The sequence below is a fragment of the Homo sapiens genome, chromosome 5 (assembly GCF_000001405.40).
Source record: "Homo sapiens chromosome 5, GRCh38.p14 Primary Assembly".
NCBI classification, from domain to species: domain Eukaryota; kingdom Metazoa; phylum Chordata; class Mammalia; order Primates; family Hominidae; genus Homo; species Homo sapiens.
The window spans coordinates 41,206,802-41,225,627 of NC_000005.10; the positions used below are offsets into that span (position 1 = coordinate 41,206,802).

The following is an 18,826-nucleotide window of genomic DNA, read 5'->3' on the forward strand; positions in this document are numbered from 1 at the left end:
GCAGGATATTATCCAGGAGAACTTCCCCAACCTAGAAAGGCAGGCCAACATTCAAATTCAGGAAATGCAGAGAATGCCACAAAGATGCTCCTTGAGAAGAGCAACTCTAAGACACATAATTGTCAGATACACCAAAGTTGAAATGAAGGAAAAAATGTTAAGGGCAGCCAGAGAGAAAGGTCGGGTTACCCACAAAGGGAAGCCCATCAGACTAAAAGCAGTTCTCTCAGCAGAAACTCTACAAGCCAGAAGAGAGTAGGGGCCAATATACAACATTCTTAAAGAAAAGAATTTTCAACCCAGAATTTCGTATCCAGCCAAACTAAGCTTCATAAGTGAAGGAGAAATAAAATACTTTACAGACAAGGAAATGCTCAGAGATTTTTGTCACCACCAGGCCTGCCTTACAAGAGCTCCTGAAGGAAGCACTAAACATAGAAAGGAAAAACTGGTACCAGCCACTGCAAAAACATGCCAAATTGTAAAGACCATCAATGCTAGGAAGAAACTGCATTAACTAATGGGAAAAATAACCAGCTAACATCATAATGACGGGTTCAAATTCACACATAACAATATTAACCTTAAATGTAAATGGGCTAAATGCCCCAATTAAAAGACATAGACTGGCAAATTGGATAAAGAGTCAAGACCCATCAGCGTGCTGTATTCAGGAGACCCATCTCATGTGCAGAGACACACATAGGCTCAAAATAAAGGGATAGAGGAAGATCTACCAAGCAAATGGAAAACAAAAAAAGGCAGGTGTTGCGATCCTAGTCTCTGATAAAACAGACTTTAAACCAACAAAGATCAAAAGAGACAAAGAAGGCCATTACATAATGGTAAAGGGATGAATTCAAAAAGAAGAGCTAACTATCCTAAATATATACGCACCCAATATAGGAGCACTCAGATTCATAAAGCCAGTCCTTAGAGATCTACAAAGAGACTTAGACTCCCACACAATAATAATGGGAGATTTTAAAACCCCACTGTCAACATGAGACAGATCAACAAGACAGAAAGTTAACAAGGATATCCAGGAATTGAACTCAGCTCTGCACCAAGCGGACCTAATAGACATCTCCAGAACTCTCCACCCCAAATCAACAGAATATATATTCTTCTCAGCACCACTTAGCACTTATTCCAAAATTGACCACAGAGTTGGAAGTAAAGCACTCCTCCGCAAATGTAGAACAGAAATTACAACAAACTGTCTCTCACATCACAGTGCAATCAAACTAGAACTCAGGGTTAAGAAACTCAAAACGCTCAACTACATGGAAACTGAACAACCTGCTCTTGAATGACTACTGGGTACATAACGAAATGAAGCCAGAAATAAAGATGTTCTTTGAAACCAATGAGAACAAAGACATAACATACCAGAATCTCTGGGACACATTTAAAGCAGTGTGTAGAGGGAAATTTATAGCACTAAATGCCCACAAGAGAAAGCAGGAAAGATCCAAAATTGACACCCTAACATCACAATTAAAAGACCTAGAGAAGCAAGAGCAAACACATTCAAAAGCTAGCAGAAGGCAAGAAATAACTAAGATCAGAGCAGAACTGAAGGACATAGAAACACAAAAAACCCTTCAAAAAATAAATGAATCCAGGAGCTGGTTTTTTGAAAAGATTGACAAAACTGATAGACCACCAGCAAGACTAATAAAGAAGAAAAGAGAGAAGAATGAAATAGACACAATAAAAAATGATAAAGGGGATATCACCACCGATCCCACAGAAATACAAACTACCATCAGAAAATACTATAAACACCTCTACACAAATAAACTAGAAAATCTAGAAGAAATGGATAAATTCCTGAACACATACAACCTCTCAAGACAAAACCAGGAAGAAGTTGAATCCCTGAATAAACCAATAACAGGCTCTGAAATTGAGGCAATAATTAATAGCTTACCAACCAAAAAAAGTCCAGGACCAGATGGATTCACAGCCGAATTCTACCAGAGGTACAAGGAGGAGCTGGTACCATTCCTTCTGAAACTATTCCAATCAATAGAAAAAGAGGGAATCCTCCCTAACTCATTTTATGAGGCCAGCATCATCCTGATACCAAAGCCTGGCAGAGACACAACGAAAAAAGAGAATTTTAGACCAATATCCCTGATGAACATCGATGCAAAAATCCTCAATAAAATACTGGCAAACTGAATCCAGCAGCACATCAAAAAGCTTATCCACCACAATCAGGTTGGCTTCACCCCTGGGATGCAAGTCTGTTTAACTTACCCAAATCAATAAATGTAATCCATCATAAAAACAGAACCAACGACAAAAACCACATGATTATCTCAATAGATGCAGAAAAGGCCTTCGACAAAATTCAACAGCACTTCATGCTAAAAACTCTCAATAAACTAGGTATTGATGGGATGTATCTCAAAATAATAAGAGCTATTTATGACAAACCCACAGCCAGTATCATACCGAATGAGTAAAAACTGGAAGCATTCCCTTTGAAAACTGGCACAAGACAAGGATTCCCTCTTTCACCACCCCTATTCAACATAGTGTTGGAAGTTCTGGCCAGGGCAATCAGGCAGGAGAAAGAAATAAAGGGTATTCAATTAGGAAAAGAGGGAATGAAATTGTCCCTGTTTGCAGATGACATGATTGTATATTTAGAAAATCTCATCATCTCAGTCCAAAATCTCCTTAAGCTGATAAGCAACTTCAGCAAAGTCTCAGGATACAAAATCAATGTGCAAAAATCACAGACATTCCTATATACCCATAATAGACAGAGAGCCAAATCATGGTAAACTCCCATTCACAATTGCTTCAAAGAGAATGAAATACCTAGGAATCCAACTTACAAGGGATGTGAAGGACCTCTTCAAGGAGAACTACAAACCACTGCTCAATGAAATAAAAGAGGACACAAACAAATGGAAGAACATTCCATGCTCATGTGTAGGAAGAATCAATATCGTGAAAATGGCCATACTGCTCAAGGTAATTTATAGATTCAATGCCATCCCCATCAAGCTACAAATGACTTTCTTCACAGAATTGGTAAAAACTACTTTAAGGTTCATATGGTACCAAAAAAGAGCCTGCATTGCCAAGACAATCCTAAGCCAAAAGAACAAAGCTGGAGGCATCTTGCTACCTGACTTCAAACTATATTACAAGGCTACAGTAACCAAAACAGCATGGTACTGGTACCAAAACAGAGATATAGACCAATGGAACAGAACAGAGCCCTCAGAAATAATACCACACGTCTACAGCCATCTGATCTTTGACAAATCTGACAAAAACAAGCAATGGGGAAAGGATTCTTTATTTAATAAATGGTGTTGGGAAAACTGGCTAGCCATATGTAGAAAGCTGAAACTGGATCCCTTCCTTGCACCTTATACAAAAATTAATTCAAGATGGATTAAAGACTTAAATGCTAGACCTAAAACCATAAAAACCCTAGAAGAAAACCTAGGCAATACCATTCAGGACATAGGCATGGGCAAGGACTTCATGACTAAAACACCAAAAGCAATGGCAACAAAAGCCAAAATTGACAAATGGGATCTAATTAAACTAAAGAGCTTCTGCTCAGCCAAAGAAACTACCATCAGAGTGAACAGGCAACCTACAGAATGGGAGAAAATTTTTGCAATCTACCCATCCGACAAAGGGCTAATATCCAGAATCTACAAAGAACTCAAACAAATTTACAAGAAAAAATCAAACAACCCCATCAAAAAGTGGGCAAAGGATATGAACAGACCCTTGACATTTGAGAAATGTCTTCTCAAAAGAAGACATTTATGCAGCCAACAGAGATATGAAAAAAATGCTCATCATCGCTGGCCATCAGAGAAATGCAGATCAAAACCACAGTGAGATACCATCTCACACCAGTTAGAATGGCGATCATTAAAAAGTGAGGAAACAACAGGTGCTGGAGAGGATGTGGAGAAATAGGAACATTTTACACTGTTGGTGGGACTGTAAACTAGTTCAACCATTGTGGAAGGCAGTGTGGTGATTCCTCCAGGATCTAGAACTAGAAATACCATTTGACCCAGCCATCCTGTTACTGGGTATCTACCCAAAGGATTATAAATCATGCTGCTATAAAGACACATACATACATATGTTTATTGTGGCACTATTCACAATAGCAAAAACTTGGAACCAACCCAAATGTCCATCAATGATAGACTGGATTAAGAAAATGTGGCACATATACACCATGGAATACTATGTAGCCATAAAAAATGATGAGTTCATATCCTTTGTAGGGACATGGATGAAGTTGGAAACCATCATTTTGAGCAAACTATCACAAGGACAGAAAACCAAACACTGAATGTTCTCACTTATAGGTGGGAATTGAACAATGAGAACACTTGGACACAGGGTGGTGAACATCATACACCGGGGCCTGTAGTGGGGTGGGGGTAGGGGAGAGGCATAGCATTAGGACATATACCTAATGCTAAATGACGAGTTAATGGGTGCAGTACACCAACATGGCATATGTATACATATGTAACAAACCTTCACGTTGTGCACATGTACCCTAGAACTTAAAGTATAATAAAAAAAAATGAGGGGCTTTTTTTCCCACTCCACTTGCAAGCTGATTCTAGTTCGTCGGTAAGTAACTCGCCTTTCCTGGTTTTCCTCAGCAACACAGAACCACAGGGTATTGGGACAATAGTAGCCAGATAGAATTTAAGTCGTGATCAGACATATAATGTGAGTCCCAAACATTTGGGAGCTGAGGCTCCCAAATAATGTGAAGCTTTCCTTTCAACCACTAGATAGACTAGAGAAGCCACTCCCCTATACCCTTCACCCTTGCCCCCCACTGCCAAAATTGGAATTTTCTCATACAGGGACCTTTTCAGCAAGAAAAACTAAATAGATACTTTGTTGTTGTTTTTTTTTCTTATTAGATGTTGGACAAGACAGATATCTTCCAGAATATTTCCTCAATTGTAGAGAAAACAAATTCTTAAAGCTTCTGGTGAAATTTTCATGTAAATAATTTGGAGAAGTTAAATTGCAAGAGATTACTAATTCTCAGTTCTCAGCAGACACTGTCTTTTAACTTCCAAAAGCTTGAAAGGTATGGGTGAGTTTTATTCCAATTATCATCAAAAACTGCAAAAACAGAACCCTTATAAAATATTCTGATCGCTCTTTAAGCTATAACTGTTCTGAGGCAATATGGAGCCTGATATAAATTAAGATGGTAACATTAAAACTTATTTGATGAGGTACTAATGAAAGAGCTAATTGGTAGCTTTTCTTTTTTAATATTCTATTATTAGGAATACAAATTGTTTTATGTTAAAACAATTTTATTTTTATTTATTTATTTTTTTGAGACAGAGTTTCATTCTTTCACCCAGGCTGGACTGCAGTGGCAGGATCTCAGCTCACTATAAACTCAGCCTCCTGGGTTCAAGCAATTCTCTGCCTCAGCCTCCCGAGTAGCTGGGATTACAGGCCCCTGCCACCACACCCAGCTAATTTTTGTATTTTTAGTGAACTCGGGGTTTCACCATTTTGGTCAGGCTCGTCTTGAACTCCTGACCTTGTGATTCACCTGCCTCGGCCTCCCAAAGTGCTGGGATTACAAGCGTGAGCCACCAAGCCCAGCAACAATTTTTAATCAAATAAAAATAATTACTTCTCTGAATTTTTTTGTTATGATGGCCTAGCATATTGTATTATATGGTTTCTTATTTATTAATTTCCACATCTCTAGGCATTCTGGAGGTATCTAAAATTACACACAGGCATTTTACCCATTACTGTACAATTTTCATACAAACATAGAATAAAAGAATGTTCGGTCAATAGAGGAAGATAGGAAAAAAGTCTTCCACTTCAGTGCCATCGTAGAAAAGCAGAAATTCTTCAGTTTTCTCATAGTTGCCATCCCCTCTTGAGTTTTCCAAAAATCAGTGATCCCATTGAACCATTGATGATAGCTTTATGAGCATTTAGAGAATTTCAATTAAAATGAAGCCCATCTTATTCTAACCTGTCACTTTCTAATGTATTTTACTCACATGAACCATTTGTCTGCAAGGCAGTTCAGCATATCTTACCCAACAGATTTCTGAGGATGCTCTAGTTTATCCCCAGCTATAGGTTCTTCCTTTACATCTCCATGTAAACTTACTGAATTTCTTATTTCTTATTATTTTTTTCTGTGCATGCCCAGAGGCTCAAGAAATGAGCCTTTCTATCTTTCTACCTTTACTATCGCCAAGGTAAGCTGGGTAGTCCAGGTGCATGACTGACCTTGGCTAAAGAGTATGTTTGCTTTACTTTTAACTAATTTAACTCATAGAGAAACTTGATCTCAAATGTCCTCTGGAATGACATTTGTTTAAAAAACATGACCTCTGGTTCTTTTCAGATTTAAACAAAGCAATTATAAAAAAGAAAGACAAAGAAATGGTTATAGTCTGAGTTACATATTTTTATGCATGAAATTGTAATTTTGTTGGAAACATGATTAACAATTTTGAAATATTAAGATTGAAAATGAAATCATCATATTACTCACCTTTAAGCAGAGTTTGTGGTGTCCTCGGACCTAAGCTGCAAATTATTGGGGAAAAAATAGGTATGCAGAATGAAGAGGGTATATATGTTAATCCAAACAAAGCTTCTTTTCTTATTGCTAGCTAACACAAGGCAATGCTGTCATATCCCAGAAGCCTAGCAACACCTAGAGGGTTGTCAAAATAAATGTTCTCTGGAACTTGAACTTTGCAAATGATTACACCAATCAGTAGTAACCCTGAAACTCTGGGTGTTGGATGTTACACAGAGTCCTGAATTTTCAGTGAGTTTTCAATTCAAGGGCTATTGTAGTAGCTATTGCTACTGCATAGAAATCTCTCTTTCCATTTTAAAGAATCCTTTAGATTAATTGCTTAAAATTGCTGCCCCCCTTAGGAATGTATAGATTCTTAGTTTTTGATTATAGAATAGTTATTGGTAACTATTTAAGAAATGTTTTTGGAGACAATGTGATTGTGTATGTAGAAAATTCAAAAGAATCTACAAACATTAGAATTAATAAATGAATTTAGTATGATTTATCAACACAAGTTTATTATAGTAAAAAGTGTTTCTATATGCCAGCAAAACCAAACAGAAAATTTAATTTGGAAAGAATTAAAATAGCAATGATCAAATGGGCTCTTTATATGTAATGATGATTACGCTTCTCTGAAATGGTTGCAATTTAACTTTAGATTGAAGTAAAATGGATTTCATCCTAAGGTGAAGCAGAACAAAATAGTGCAATAGAAAAGAAAAAAAACTATAGGGACTGAGAATGTGGATACATATTCTAGTCTTGTTTCTGCACTAAGCAGCTACCAGCTATGTGAGCTTCAATAAATCACTATACCTCATTGGAACACTGGTCCCTCATTTGTAAAACAAGTGTTTTTCAAACTTTTTTCAAAGCAGTAGAAAACAACTAAAACAAATATTCCTTAGACAGCTTAGATTTTTATCACATGGTGGGAAATGATGATCTCAGCAAGTCTAAAGATTACTTGAAACACAGCTGGGAACCCACCACTCAAAGGTCACATAGTTTAATATACATGGTAGTAACTTTCCCAAGGCCAGAGTAAGTCAGAACTGGAATACAGATGATCTGATTTCCAGTCTTTTTTCTCTCTCTTATACTACATTGAGATTTTAAAGATTGAAATTTGGGCCTAAAGAGAAAGTAGAGTGGTGTGCTGCAGACCAGTGTTGAAGCTAGTTTGGGGCTGGGATAGCAGCTTCACCCTTGATTACCTGAGAAGATAAACAGGAAAAGAAATATTTGGTGATTGGACAAGAATATATGTCATTTAATTTGCATATTTCTTTCTTTAATTGGTCTTTGAGGTCCTAAAATAAAATTCATTTGTCCTGAGTTCAAGGTGTTTGGAGCTAAAGGCAAATACTGGAAGTCATAATACAGAGAGATGCAAAGTTAGGTGCCAGTAGGATGAGCTTAAAGAGGACTTTATTTGTAATGTGGGCTATGAAGAGGACAGAGAAGTAAGATTGTATGCTGTGGCACTGGAAAAACACAGGTGGAGAGAGTTAAGGATGGTAAGGGGAAATCCTTGAGATGGAATGCGAATGTCTGTGATCCAAACACTAGAATTGACCCAGCACCAACTAAGAATCTAGAATCTTTTCAACAATGTATTTGGGTTCTCCATCTTGGGTTCTTTTGGAAGGTTAAATGACATATCTCACTCATGAGTCCTTTTTCTAGAGCAGGGATTGGTAAACTAGCCTGATGCCCGTTTTTGTAAATAACGTTTTATAGGAATAAAGTCACACAATTGGCCATTGTTTATGGTTGCTTTTGTGCTACAATGGTAGAGTTAAGAAGCTGGCAACAGAGGCTCTCCAGCCTGAAAAGCCTAAAATATTTACCGTCTGGCCCTTATAGGAAAAGTTGCAACCCAGAGAGAAATATTTCTGGTCTGATACATACAACAAAGTGTCCAGTGGCTTTGGGAAGTAGAAGTAGGCTAATTGGGACTGATGAGTAGGTGATTGTTTCAGAGCTAGGAATTGAATACTTGTGTGCAGTTGTGCTCAGGTCTGACTCTGTGCATGCAAAGAATATAGGTGTTCTCTAAACAATATTTAGATGTGTGCTGCTGAAAAACAAAGTCTGCTATGAAGTTTACTGGCACTGGCTGAGTTGCTTCAGCAACTGCAGGCCTTCTGAAGTTTTGGCTGGTAACACAGAAGACCTTCTCACACAAAATCTCCTATTTTCATAAGGTAGATAGTTGCTATTGACTGACCAGTAGAAAGCATATAATTGTAAAAAAACAGAAGGGTGCAGGAGAAAATGAGGGCCAGGACATGGAGAGTTAAGATGGAGCAATTATCATTTTACCAGAAGGAGAATATGTATTCTGTTAAAAACCATTATTCCTCTTTTAATGATAATAGATTCATAGCCAAATGGTATTTTCTGCCAAGAAAATAACCACAAATATAAAATAATGAACAATGGAAGCTGCTATCTGAAGGCTTTTTCACATGCTAAGTATTCACATGCCAACTTATCATTATAGCAAAAGTACTATAATTTCTTATTAGAGCCAAGGCTAATGACCCCATCTATTTCAAAAACTCTTCAGAGTGTGCTTTGTCAGTCAATATGTGAGTAGATAAAGTGAAATGGCAGATTGAACTATTTCAATTGGGGGATCATAGATCAAAACTCTCAAATATGGAGGAAACAGAAGGTATTTTGGACCTCAGGCTTCCACACTCTTTGTGTCTTCTCTTTCCTACTAAAATTATTAGAAAGATAGTCTAAATTGACTGCATTTGATGTTTTGCCATCTACTCCTCATTCACTTCACTCTTTGAAATCTATGTGATAAATACAACCAGCCTACACCAACTATTCTCTCAATGACCACCATTAACCTCCTAATTGCCAAACTGAATGACCTCTTCTAAATCCACTATTGGCTTCCTGGACAAAATATAATACATGTGTTTCTCTGAACACTTAGGAAATTCCTCTTCTGCCTTCCTCTATGATTCTCTTCCTACACCCATCTAGGATTTTATCCTCACCCCTTTTCTTTCATTTGAGATTTCATCTACTTCCATGGGGTTATTGATCACCTTTGTATTGATTGCTTCCTAGTCCACCTGTCTTAGTATTCTAATGTTCAGACAGATAATAGAAACATCATATCACAGAGATCACATCCTCACTCCCTGACTCCTCCTATCCTTTTAGATGCTAAATACATGAGGCAATTTTATCTTTTATTTAGCTTTTATCTTTGAAGTATCTCTTCTATGCATTCCTCATTTTTCCACCTTGCCATCATGTCTATGGCTACAGTTCCACTTCCAGCCATTATGAAACCATACCTTGAAGATTGCATCAGTGGCTTAGCTGGTCTCTGAGCTTTAGAACTCCTCCTGTAATTTCTTCTAATCTACTCTGCAAGGATACTCTAGAGTTCACCTCTCAGTAGCACAACCCTATTCAAAATCTCAGTGTTATTCTTTTAAGGAAACCACGAAATTAGCTACAGAGTCCCAGTCCCTAATATTGGAAACCTTGAGCAATTTTATTCCATATTACCCTTTAGACTCATTTTCTCTCCTTCATTTTGCATAGTCCACCATCTAGCCAAATTGGATAACTTGCTGATCCTCAAAATGGCCTATGGTTTCTCTTGCCATTATATTTTTTCCCTTGAAACTTTTTCTTCCCCAATCACAAATGTAGTGTATTGTGTACCTCTTCTTTGGGGGCCATTCCAAATGTATTTCCTTCTTAAATTTTTTCTACATTTCACAATCATTTTCACACTTTAGATCAGATGCTACATGATTCCTCCACCCTTTAAACATATGAATCTCTTTTTACCTTTCATATGGAACTCACTTACTATTGCCGGATATTATGATCATTGTGTGCTTTATTATTGCCCACTCTTAGTCCACTTAATAGATTCAAAGTTCCTTTATACTGAGCCTGAATAATATTTATCTTTATATTTGATAAACATAAAAGTTAAATCAATGTTGATTGAATTGAGTTGTCTACACACAAAGAGTTTGTGAGAAAATTGCTGAATACGCCTCTACAAATGTGCCCTTAGCTAAATTCCACTATGTAGATTCTCATGTGTTTGGCAATAAGAGGTAACAATCTTTCATATAGCAAAATGCTCCAAGAATTGCTTTTATTTATGTGTTTGTTGAGTTGTTGAACAATGCATAATGATGATATTAAATGGAATAAACTCTTTGGTGATTCTTTGGAATGGAAAGAAAATGAGCTACAATTTAGTCTCCAAATCTAAAACTGGTCTAACATAGTAATAGAAATCTAGTTTGAGACAATAAAGCCAAACTTCTGCCAAGTTTTGCCCCTTCTAGGATTATACAGAAACTTAGGTTGGATTCCAATTTAGAGCTTTGTGGGAAAAGGCAGAAAAAAAAAGCCTATTGAAGTCAGATGAATTGTACCTAGACTCTTGGGTCAGCTTTCTAGTTTGTTTCTTGTCCTCCTGTTGTCCCAAACATCTTGAATACATTACTAAGGTATTTTTTCTAAAGCACTACTACAATGAAAATCACAATCTAATGTTTTGGTAGCATTTTATGGTTTGCAAAGCACTCTTCAAAGTGCCATAGGAGGAACAGTATCTTGATTCATCCATTTCACTCAATTCACAAATATTTACTGATTATATACCAGGCATTATGCTGGGACTTAAGATACAAAGATGAATACTTTCGGTTAGTTCTTTCAAGAACTTCACCTCATAGTAATAGTAGTTGGATAGGAAAGAAAAAGAACGTCAAGAAGTACTAAAAATTATAAGAAATCCGTCTATTCACAGAAATCGTAACTTCCCTTGTTTATGCAGTCACGTATTCTCTTATCTTTTCATCATATTCACTGTAATTACCACTGTTGTCATTATCCAAAGGTTTTTATTCACGAATTTTGCAAAAATTTACTGCAAGGAACTGTTCTAGGCACTTGAACAGTAAACAAAACAGAAAAAAAAATCCTGCCTTTGTAAAATTTACAATCTCCATAAAGACAGGAGAGAGAAAACAAAATAAATAAATGAATTATATGGTTTTTAAGAAATATTTCTTTAATGTTTATCCAACTATTGTGTCTTCTTAAAATGCAGGTCATTCTTTCTGCCTCTTTTTTTCCTGGGTCTATGCTTTCTTGAAGAAAATCTGTCCAGCCCGATCTCACAAAATTTAATCCTGTAGGACCCACTGAGCTGGTTTCAGATCTCATGATTCTGCCCCTTGGACAAAGTGATAGGCCAGGATTGGGTATGGGTCATTCGGATTTCATGTGCCAGGGTTGGGGAGTGGGACTTAGAAATACTATTTAAACACAGTGTGAAGCTTGCTTAAGCCGCATGCAGGGAGAAGAAGAGAATGCCTCTGTAGAGAGAAAAAAGAATGAGGTAAGGACTGGAAAAAATGTACATGTGAGAACATGTGGCCTTAGAGAATATAAATACTGTCCCTGTGAAACTCAGCTGCACTTCCTTCTCTTGTGTTTCATAAGGCCCACCTTTTCCTTCTAGTAAACTATACTTTGAATACATTTTTGTTACTTGCAAGGAAGTTATCCTAACTAGGATGTATTTTATGATTTTCAAACAATTGCAAACAATTTCAAAAAAGATACTCCAACAATTTCACAAGTGGCACTGCTTAATCAGAATGGATGCTGTCCAGTTTATTCAAGCCATGTGTGCTGGCTGATGCCAGCCCTGAGCCTGATGCCAGCCCTGAGCCTGATGCACAATTATGTCACACAATCTCCAGCAAATGTAGAAATTAATAAATTAGTTGAATATTTACTAAGATTCTTTACCTCCTAGGGTGGTATAGAAAAAGGAAGCTGGAAATCATGCTTCCAAATCTGGACCTCTTCTTTTAGGTAGGGTCATCTAGATTTGTCTGTAGGATGGAAGTGGGGAGACTGAGAAAGAAAGGCCATTCTGTGGTCAGATAAAGCTGTTGAGAGAGCTTTGGGAGGGCTGTATTGAGCGCCCTTTGTTCTCTGGGGTGTAAGTAGCTAATAAATGAGGCAATGCAAGCAATGAAGGGACATGTGAAGTCCTTGAAATAACTCTGACAAAGTGCTTTGAGGGAAAATTGTTATTCTGAGTTCTGAGGTTGTGGGAAACTACTGAAAAACTAATGATAGCAGTGATATAATCCTCTGGGCACAGGGCAATACCTAAAGCATGAAGAAAAGAAGGAAGAAATAATTCCAGGTCAGAGGTTATTGAAATCTTAGCTAAGTTCGTAGTTACAAGGCAAAGAAAGACATGCTGTGTTGTCATGTAAGCAACTCCAAGTTTTAACATCTAAGGGAGAAAAAGGCAGTGAGAGATAGAACAGGCCACTCTTTGAGACATGAATCACACAAATAAATATCAATTTTTAAAAGTTCTTCCAGGAGAAAGGTTGTCTCAGTCAAATGCTTGAACGCCTGACAATCCCATTAACATCACATGCTCTGTGTATTGAATCCTGCATGGGAAGACAGCAGTTTCCAATCATCTTTCTACATATTATCAGGAGTGTGGCCAAAGTAAAGAGGGAAATGAAAGAACAGGAACAAATTGAAAAGTGTTTGAGGTGGTCATTTTTTAAAATAATCAAACTCTGATGAATAGTTGTATTTTTTATTAATGATGACAAGAAATAGTCTCACAGTAACAAAATGTCAACATCTACTGACCTGGGGTAGTGTGTAATACAAAGACAAATGGTTTCCTGATTTCTTGCCATGTTTTTCAAACACTTGCAAAAATGAGGCTGGCCATTTAGCTGTGTTTATTCTTTTTATGATAAAAAGCTACTTTGTCTTACCAACCTTCCCTGGACAGCCCTCATTTTTATGCAGATAGTGTATTATTTAAAAAGGAGAATCTAAGGCTCTGGATACTTAAGCAATTAGTCAAATTAATGCAACAAATAAATGGTAGAAGAGGAATTTGAGGTCTTCTGCTCTCTGGTGGAACTTGTTTTACCTTGTTCTTTATTTTAATCTTCCAGTATTCCCTAGCTCCCTCAAACCATCCTGTTTTGCTTACTTTCCTTCAACAGACTTACTAACGTTTTGTGTGTAATCAGAAAGAAGGCGTTTATATAAATCAGATTTATTTTTTATTAATTATTTTAACTGCCTATCTTTTTTACTATAACCATATGAGTGAGGTGCAGTCATATCTCATTTTGGTTTTGATTTACATTTCTCTAGTGATTAATGATGTTGGGCCTCTTTTCATGTGCCTGTTGGTCATTTATATACATTCTTTGGATCGCTAATTTTTTAAAAAATGATTTCAACTTTTATTTTAGATACAGGAGGTACACATGTATATTGTGTAATATTGAGGTTTGGGGTACAAATGATTTCATTATTTAGGTAGTGATCATAATACTCAATGGGTAGTTTTCCAGCCTTTTCCCTACTCCTTCTCCCCTGACCCAATAGGCCCCAATGTCTATTGCTCTCATCTTTATGTCCATGTGTGCCCAATGTATAAACAGATTTTTTAAAAAAAGAGCAAGCATCTAACATACATTCTTGGCAGTTTAATTTTAATATTTCATTAAAATGTTATCTTTTAAAACTAATATATTTATGTAGCTAAAAAAAAAAATAGAAACACAAGACTTAAAGCAGCAAACCAAAGCCACTACTCCACCCTGTCCCAGCCCTGCAGTTTTCTTTCTAGTACCAGTCACTTTAAAATTAGAGCTGTTTTATTTTTTTGCTGTTGTTGGTTTTCATCTCCATATTTCATAGTACTTGCTACCATGTAATTACATTTATCCTGAGCCCAGGCCTTTATGCTATAGTTTTCATGAAAACTCTACAATACACTGTCATGATTTTTGCTTTAAGCTATACATTCTCAACAGGGATGATATTTCCCTCCAAAAGGATGAAAATTGATGTTCGTGGGGTTGGTGAAATATTCTCAGTTATTACAATGGTGTATAGCCCTGTAAAGCTCAACCCTATCTGATGCAATCACATTCTTTAGAATTTAATTTCTCCTGTGTCGTTTTCATGGGTATCCCATGAGCAGCACTGACATTGGGCTCAGGGAATATACATAAAATGTATATAAGATCAGTGCTACAGCAAGTAGATGGCTTTCTTTCCTTAATAGATTGCTAGAAATGGCCTAGCCTACTCAAGTTTATTGGCTGCCATTGGCTACCTTATGGATGTTGTTTATGTTTGATCCTCATTGTTTTGGTGTGTGACTAGGGCTTTGAGAATTAAATAAAAGCAGTGTTTTAATAGTTATTTGGAATAATTATTCAATAGTTATTCAAAAAAGTTATTCAAGTCTATAAAAGTTATTCAATCCATCATTATACAGGTGAGGAAAACAAAAAAGTATCAACAATATATAAATGAATATCTGGCAGCTAGTTAAGTTAAAAGTTATTTTCTTATATTGAGCAGAAGTTAAAAGTTAAGTTCACTGGCCAGCGTGGTGGCTCACACCTGTAATCCCAGCACTTTGGGAGGCCAAGGCAGGTGGATCACCTCAGGTCAGGAGTTTGAGACCAGCCTGACCAACATGGTGAAACCCTATCTCTACTAAAAAATACAAAAATTAGCTGGGCATGGTGGCGGGCACCTGTAATCTCAGTTACTTGGGAGGCTGAGGCAGAAGAATTGCTTGAACCCGGGAGGCAGAGGTCACAGTGAGCCGAGATCATGCCATTGCTCTGTTGCCTGGGCGACAGAGAGAGACTCCATCTCAAAAAAAAAAAACAAAAAAAAGAAAAGTAATTTTGTAATTATTTTACTTTTGCTCAAAGTTAATAGTTTTGAAAACTATTACTGTGTATTTATATATGTTGCTAACTTTCATAATTATATAAGTAAATAAATTATATTGAAATTTGCAATAATCATGCAGTTACAAAGTTGTTATATGCTAATAGCTTTTTAATTTTTTAAATATTACATTTAACTTGTAAAATTTAGTCATTCTGAAGTTTGCATTAAACAGAAAAGTTTTATATTTTTTATTTTAATGTATAAAGCACAGATGTATCTATAACATATAAACAAGAGCACAACATATCTTGGGTATAAAAATGTCAAGGAAGGAATGAACAATTACAATGTAAAGTTTCTAACAAGTTTCCTTGGGGGGAAATAATGGAAAAAAGTTTGAAGAGTTAATTTAAACAATTGCATTATTTCAAAGAAATTAAAAGAAAAAATAGTTTATTTATATGAATCTCTATATATTTACTATTTCTGATACCTTTGTGCATATAGCTTCCCCTGCTCTTACGAGTCAGGTAGTATTTTACTACTTTCTGTTTTCCAAATTTTGTTAAAATATTATGTTTAGTGGGATCTCCTCTATTTTCCTTGTCCTTCGGGTTTATAGCATTTTATTTCTTTTCTCTTGTATTGAAAGAGTAATGAAATAAGCCCACATGGCTAATTACAACGTTCAATAGAAATTCATTTAGCCTTTTAAATGGGAATAAATTTAATATCCTAACTGTGTTCATTTAACCAGAAACTTTCCCTATCCCCTCTTCCATTTTAAACTTAAATATGCTTAAATTCTCTGGAATTTCTATTGTAAATAAAACCTTCCAATTTGTTTTGATCACAGATCTAAATTATGTAATTTATGTTATTGTGAGGGATAAATTTGTACTCAGCCTGGAGCTGAACTTACTTCAGATACCACTGTAATAAACAAAAGCTTGGTTTCTATGGTTTCTCCTATAACTAACATTTAGAGATTAACAGGTATTGTTACCACACTGGGCACTGGGGCGATATATGTCAGGGGAGGCAGGAAACAAAGAAAGCACCAGATAATTAGAGAAAAAAAACTGTGATGATTTCGTTATTCTCCAAGGACTAGATGGTTGAATAAATCTGTACTTGAATAAAAATGCTTTTTCTGCTCTTCTCTCTGGAGTAATTTAAGAGAAAACCAATGAGGAACAACAATTACACAATAGGCTGGGTGTCTGGGCAATCTCAGGTCCCAGGGTACCAAGCAAAACTCTCAAGCTGGCTTGGACATGGTACCTTCATAGCCCTACTCCACAGTAAAGGATAAATTGAAATACCTTTTCTTGTCATCAGGTAATATGTTTAATTGGTCTTTTGTGCGATTGTATTGGCTTAATCTTTTCTAACTGGTTAAGTTGGAGGTGGGTGAGAAGCAGTTTATTTTAATAAGAACTGTTCTGTTAGGCTTAGATGTATGAAAGATAGCAAAAATACATGTCATTGAAGGAAATTCACAGTTTATTTATGCAATCTACTTTTAAACCAAGTATAGTAATCAAATTTAGAAAAGCTGGCAACAGAAACCGTACTTTTATTTAATATAAGGTTTATTTTGTTAATATTTCAACAATGTTTCAATAATATTCTTTATTTTCCTTCTCCAGTACAGGATCCAGCCCAAGATCATGTTCTATTTAGTTATCATATCTATCTCTTTAATATAGAGAGCAGTGCCTAAATTTTCATTGTCATTCTAGATATTGACAATTTTGAACAATAAAAGCAAATTATGTTTAGAATATTCTTTACTTTGGGTTTGACAGTATCACATCTGGAAATAATGTCAACAAATCTACTATAATTTTCTTTAATTGACAAAAATTGTACATGTTTGTCTATATTTAAAGTGCACGACATGATGTTTTGATATATGTATACATTGTGCAATGGCTGAATCAAACTAATTAACATATCTATTACCTCACATACTTACCATTTTGTTTTTTGCGGTGAGAATACTAAATGTGCTGTCAGCAGTTTTCTTTTTTTCTCTTAAAATAGCTTTATTGAGATGTAATTCACTTGCCATGCAATGCACCCATTTAATGTGTACAATTTAATAGTCTTCAATATATTCACAGAGATGTGCAGCCAGCACCACAATTTAATTTTAGAACATTTTTATCACTCAAAAGAAACCCTGAACCCATTAGCAGCCACTCCCTATTTTTCCCTATCCCTCCTCCCCAGTCTTAGGCACTACCAATCTACTTTCTGTGTCTATAGTTTTCCTTATTCTTCACATTTCATATAATTGAAATAATATAATACGTCGTCTTTTGAGACTGATTCTTTGACTAAGTGCGTTTTCAAGGTTCATCCATGTTGACCATGTATTAGTATGTTCCTTTTTTTTTTATTGCTGAATAACACTCTGTTGCATGGGTATACTACATTTTGTTTATCTATTTATCAGTTGATGGTCATTTGTGTTATTTCCTCTGTTTGGCTATTATGAATAATGCTGCTGGGAACATTTGTGTACATGTTTTGTGTGAATATATGTTTTCAATTCTACTGAATATATATCTAGGAGTGGAGTTGCTGGGTCATATGGTAGCTCTATCTTTAACATTTTAAGGAACTGTCAAATTATTTTCTGTAGCGATTGCACCATTTTGCATTTCTACCAGCAAGGTATTAGGGTTCCAATTTCTTTGCATCCTTGCCAACACTTGTTATTTTCTTTTTTTTCTTCACATTTCCCTGGGAATTTACATTTACAGGAAATTTGCGTATCCTTGATGGCTAATCATGTTGAGCATTTTGTTTCATGTGCTTACTGGCCATTTGTATGTCTTCCTTTGAGAAATGTCTATTCAAATCCTTTAGCCATTTTTTAAATTATACTTTAAGTTTTAGGGTACATGTGCACAACGTGCAGGTTTGTTACATATGTATACATGTGCCATGTTGGTGTGCCGCACCCATTAACTCATCATTTAACATTAGATATATCTCCTAATGCTATCCCTCCCCTCTCCCCCAACCCCACAACAGGCCCCAGTGTGTGACGTTCCCCTTCCTGTGTCCATGTGTTCTCATTGTTCACTTCCCACCTATGAGTGAGAACATGCAGTGTTTGTTTTTTTTTGTCCTTGCGATAGTTTGCTGAGAATGGTGGTTTCCAGCTTTATCCATATCCCTACAAAGGAAATGAACTCATCATTTTTTACGGCTGCATAGTATTCCATGGTGTATATGTGCCACATTTTCTTAATCCAGTCTATCATTGTTGGACATTTGGGTTGGTTCCAAGTCTTTGCTATTGTGAATAGTGCCGCAATAAACATACGAATGCATGTGTCTTTATAGCAGCATGATTTATAATCCTTTGGGTATATACCCAGTAATGGGATGGCTGGGTCAAATTGTATTTCTAGTTCTAGATCC

The 18,826-nt window shown here is 36.1% G+C and overlaps 1 protein-coding gene across 13 annotated transcripts in view; it reads right to left on the minus strand.

The window, feature by feature from the left end:
* C6 (complement C6) overlaps nucleotides 1–18,826 on the minus strand; it is a 119,354-nt gene that overhangs the window by 64,686 nt on the left and 35,842 nt on the right. For 6 of the 13 annotated variants that reach the window (NM_000065.5, XM_011514115.4, XM_011514116.4 and 3 more), the window contains exon 1: nucleotides 6,575–6,731. The exons of 5 other annotated variants lie outside the window; for them this stretch is intronic. The gene's annotated coding sequence lies outside the window, so the exon portion shown is untranslated. Of the gene's footprint in view, nucleotides 1–6,110; nucleotides 6,283–6,574; nucleotides 6,732–18,826 lie in introns of those variants that run through there. 2 more of the 13 variants (XM_011514118.4, XM_047417688.1) reach the window with 1 other exon arrangement.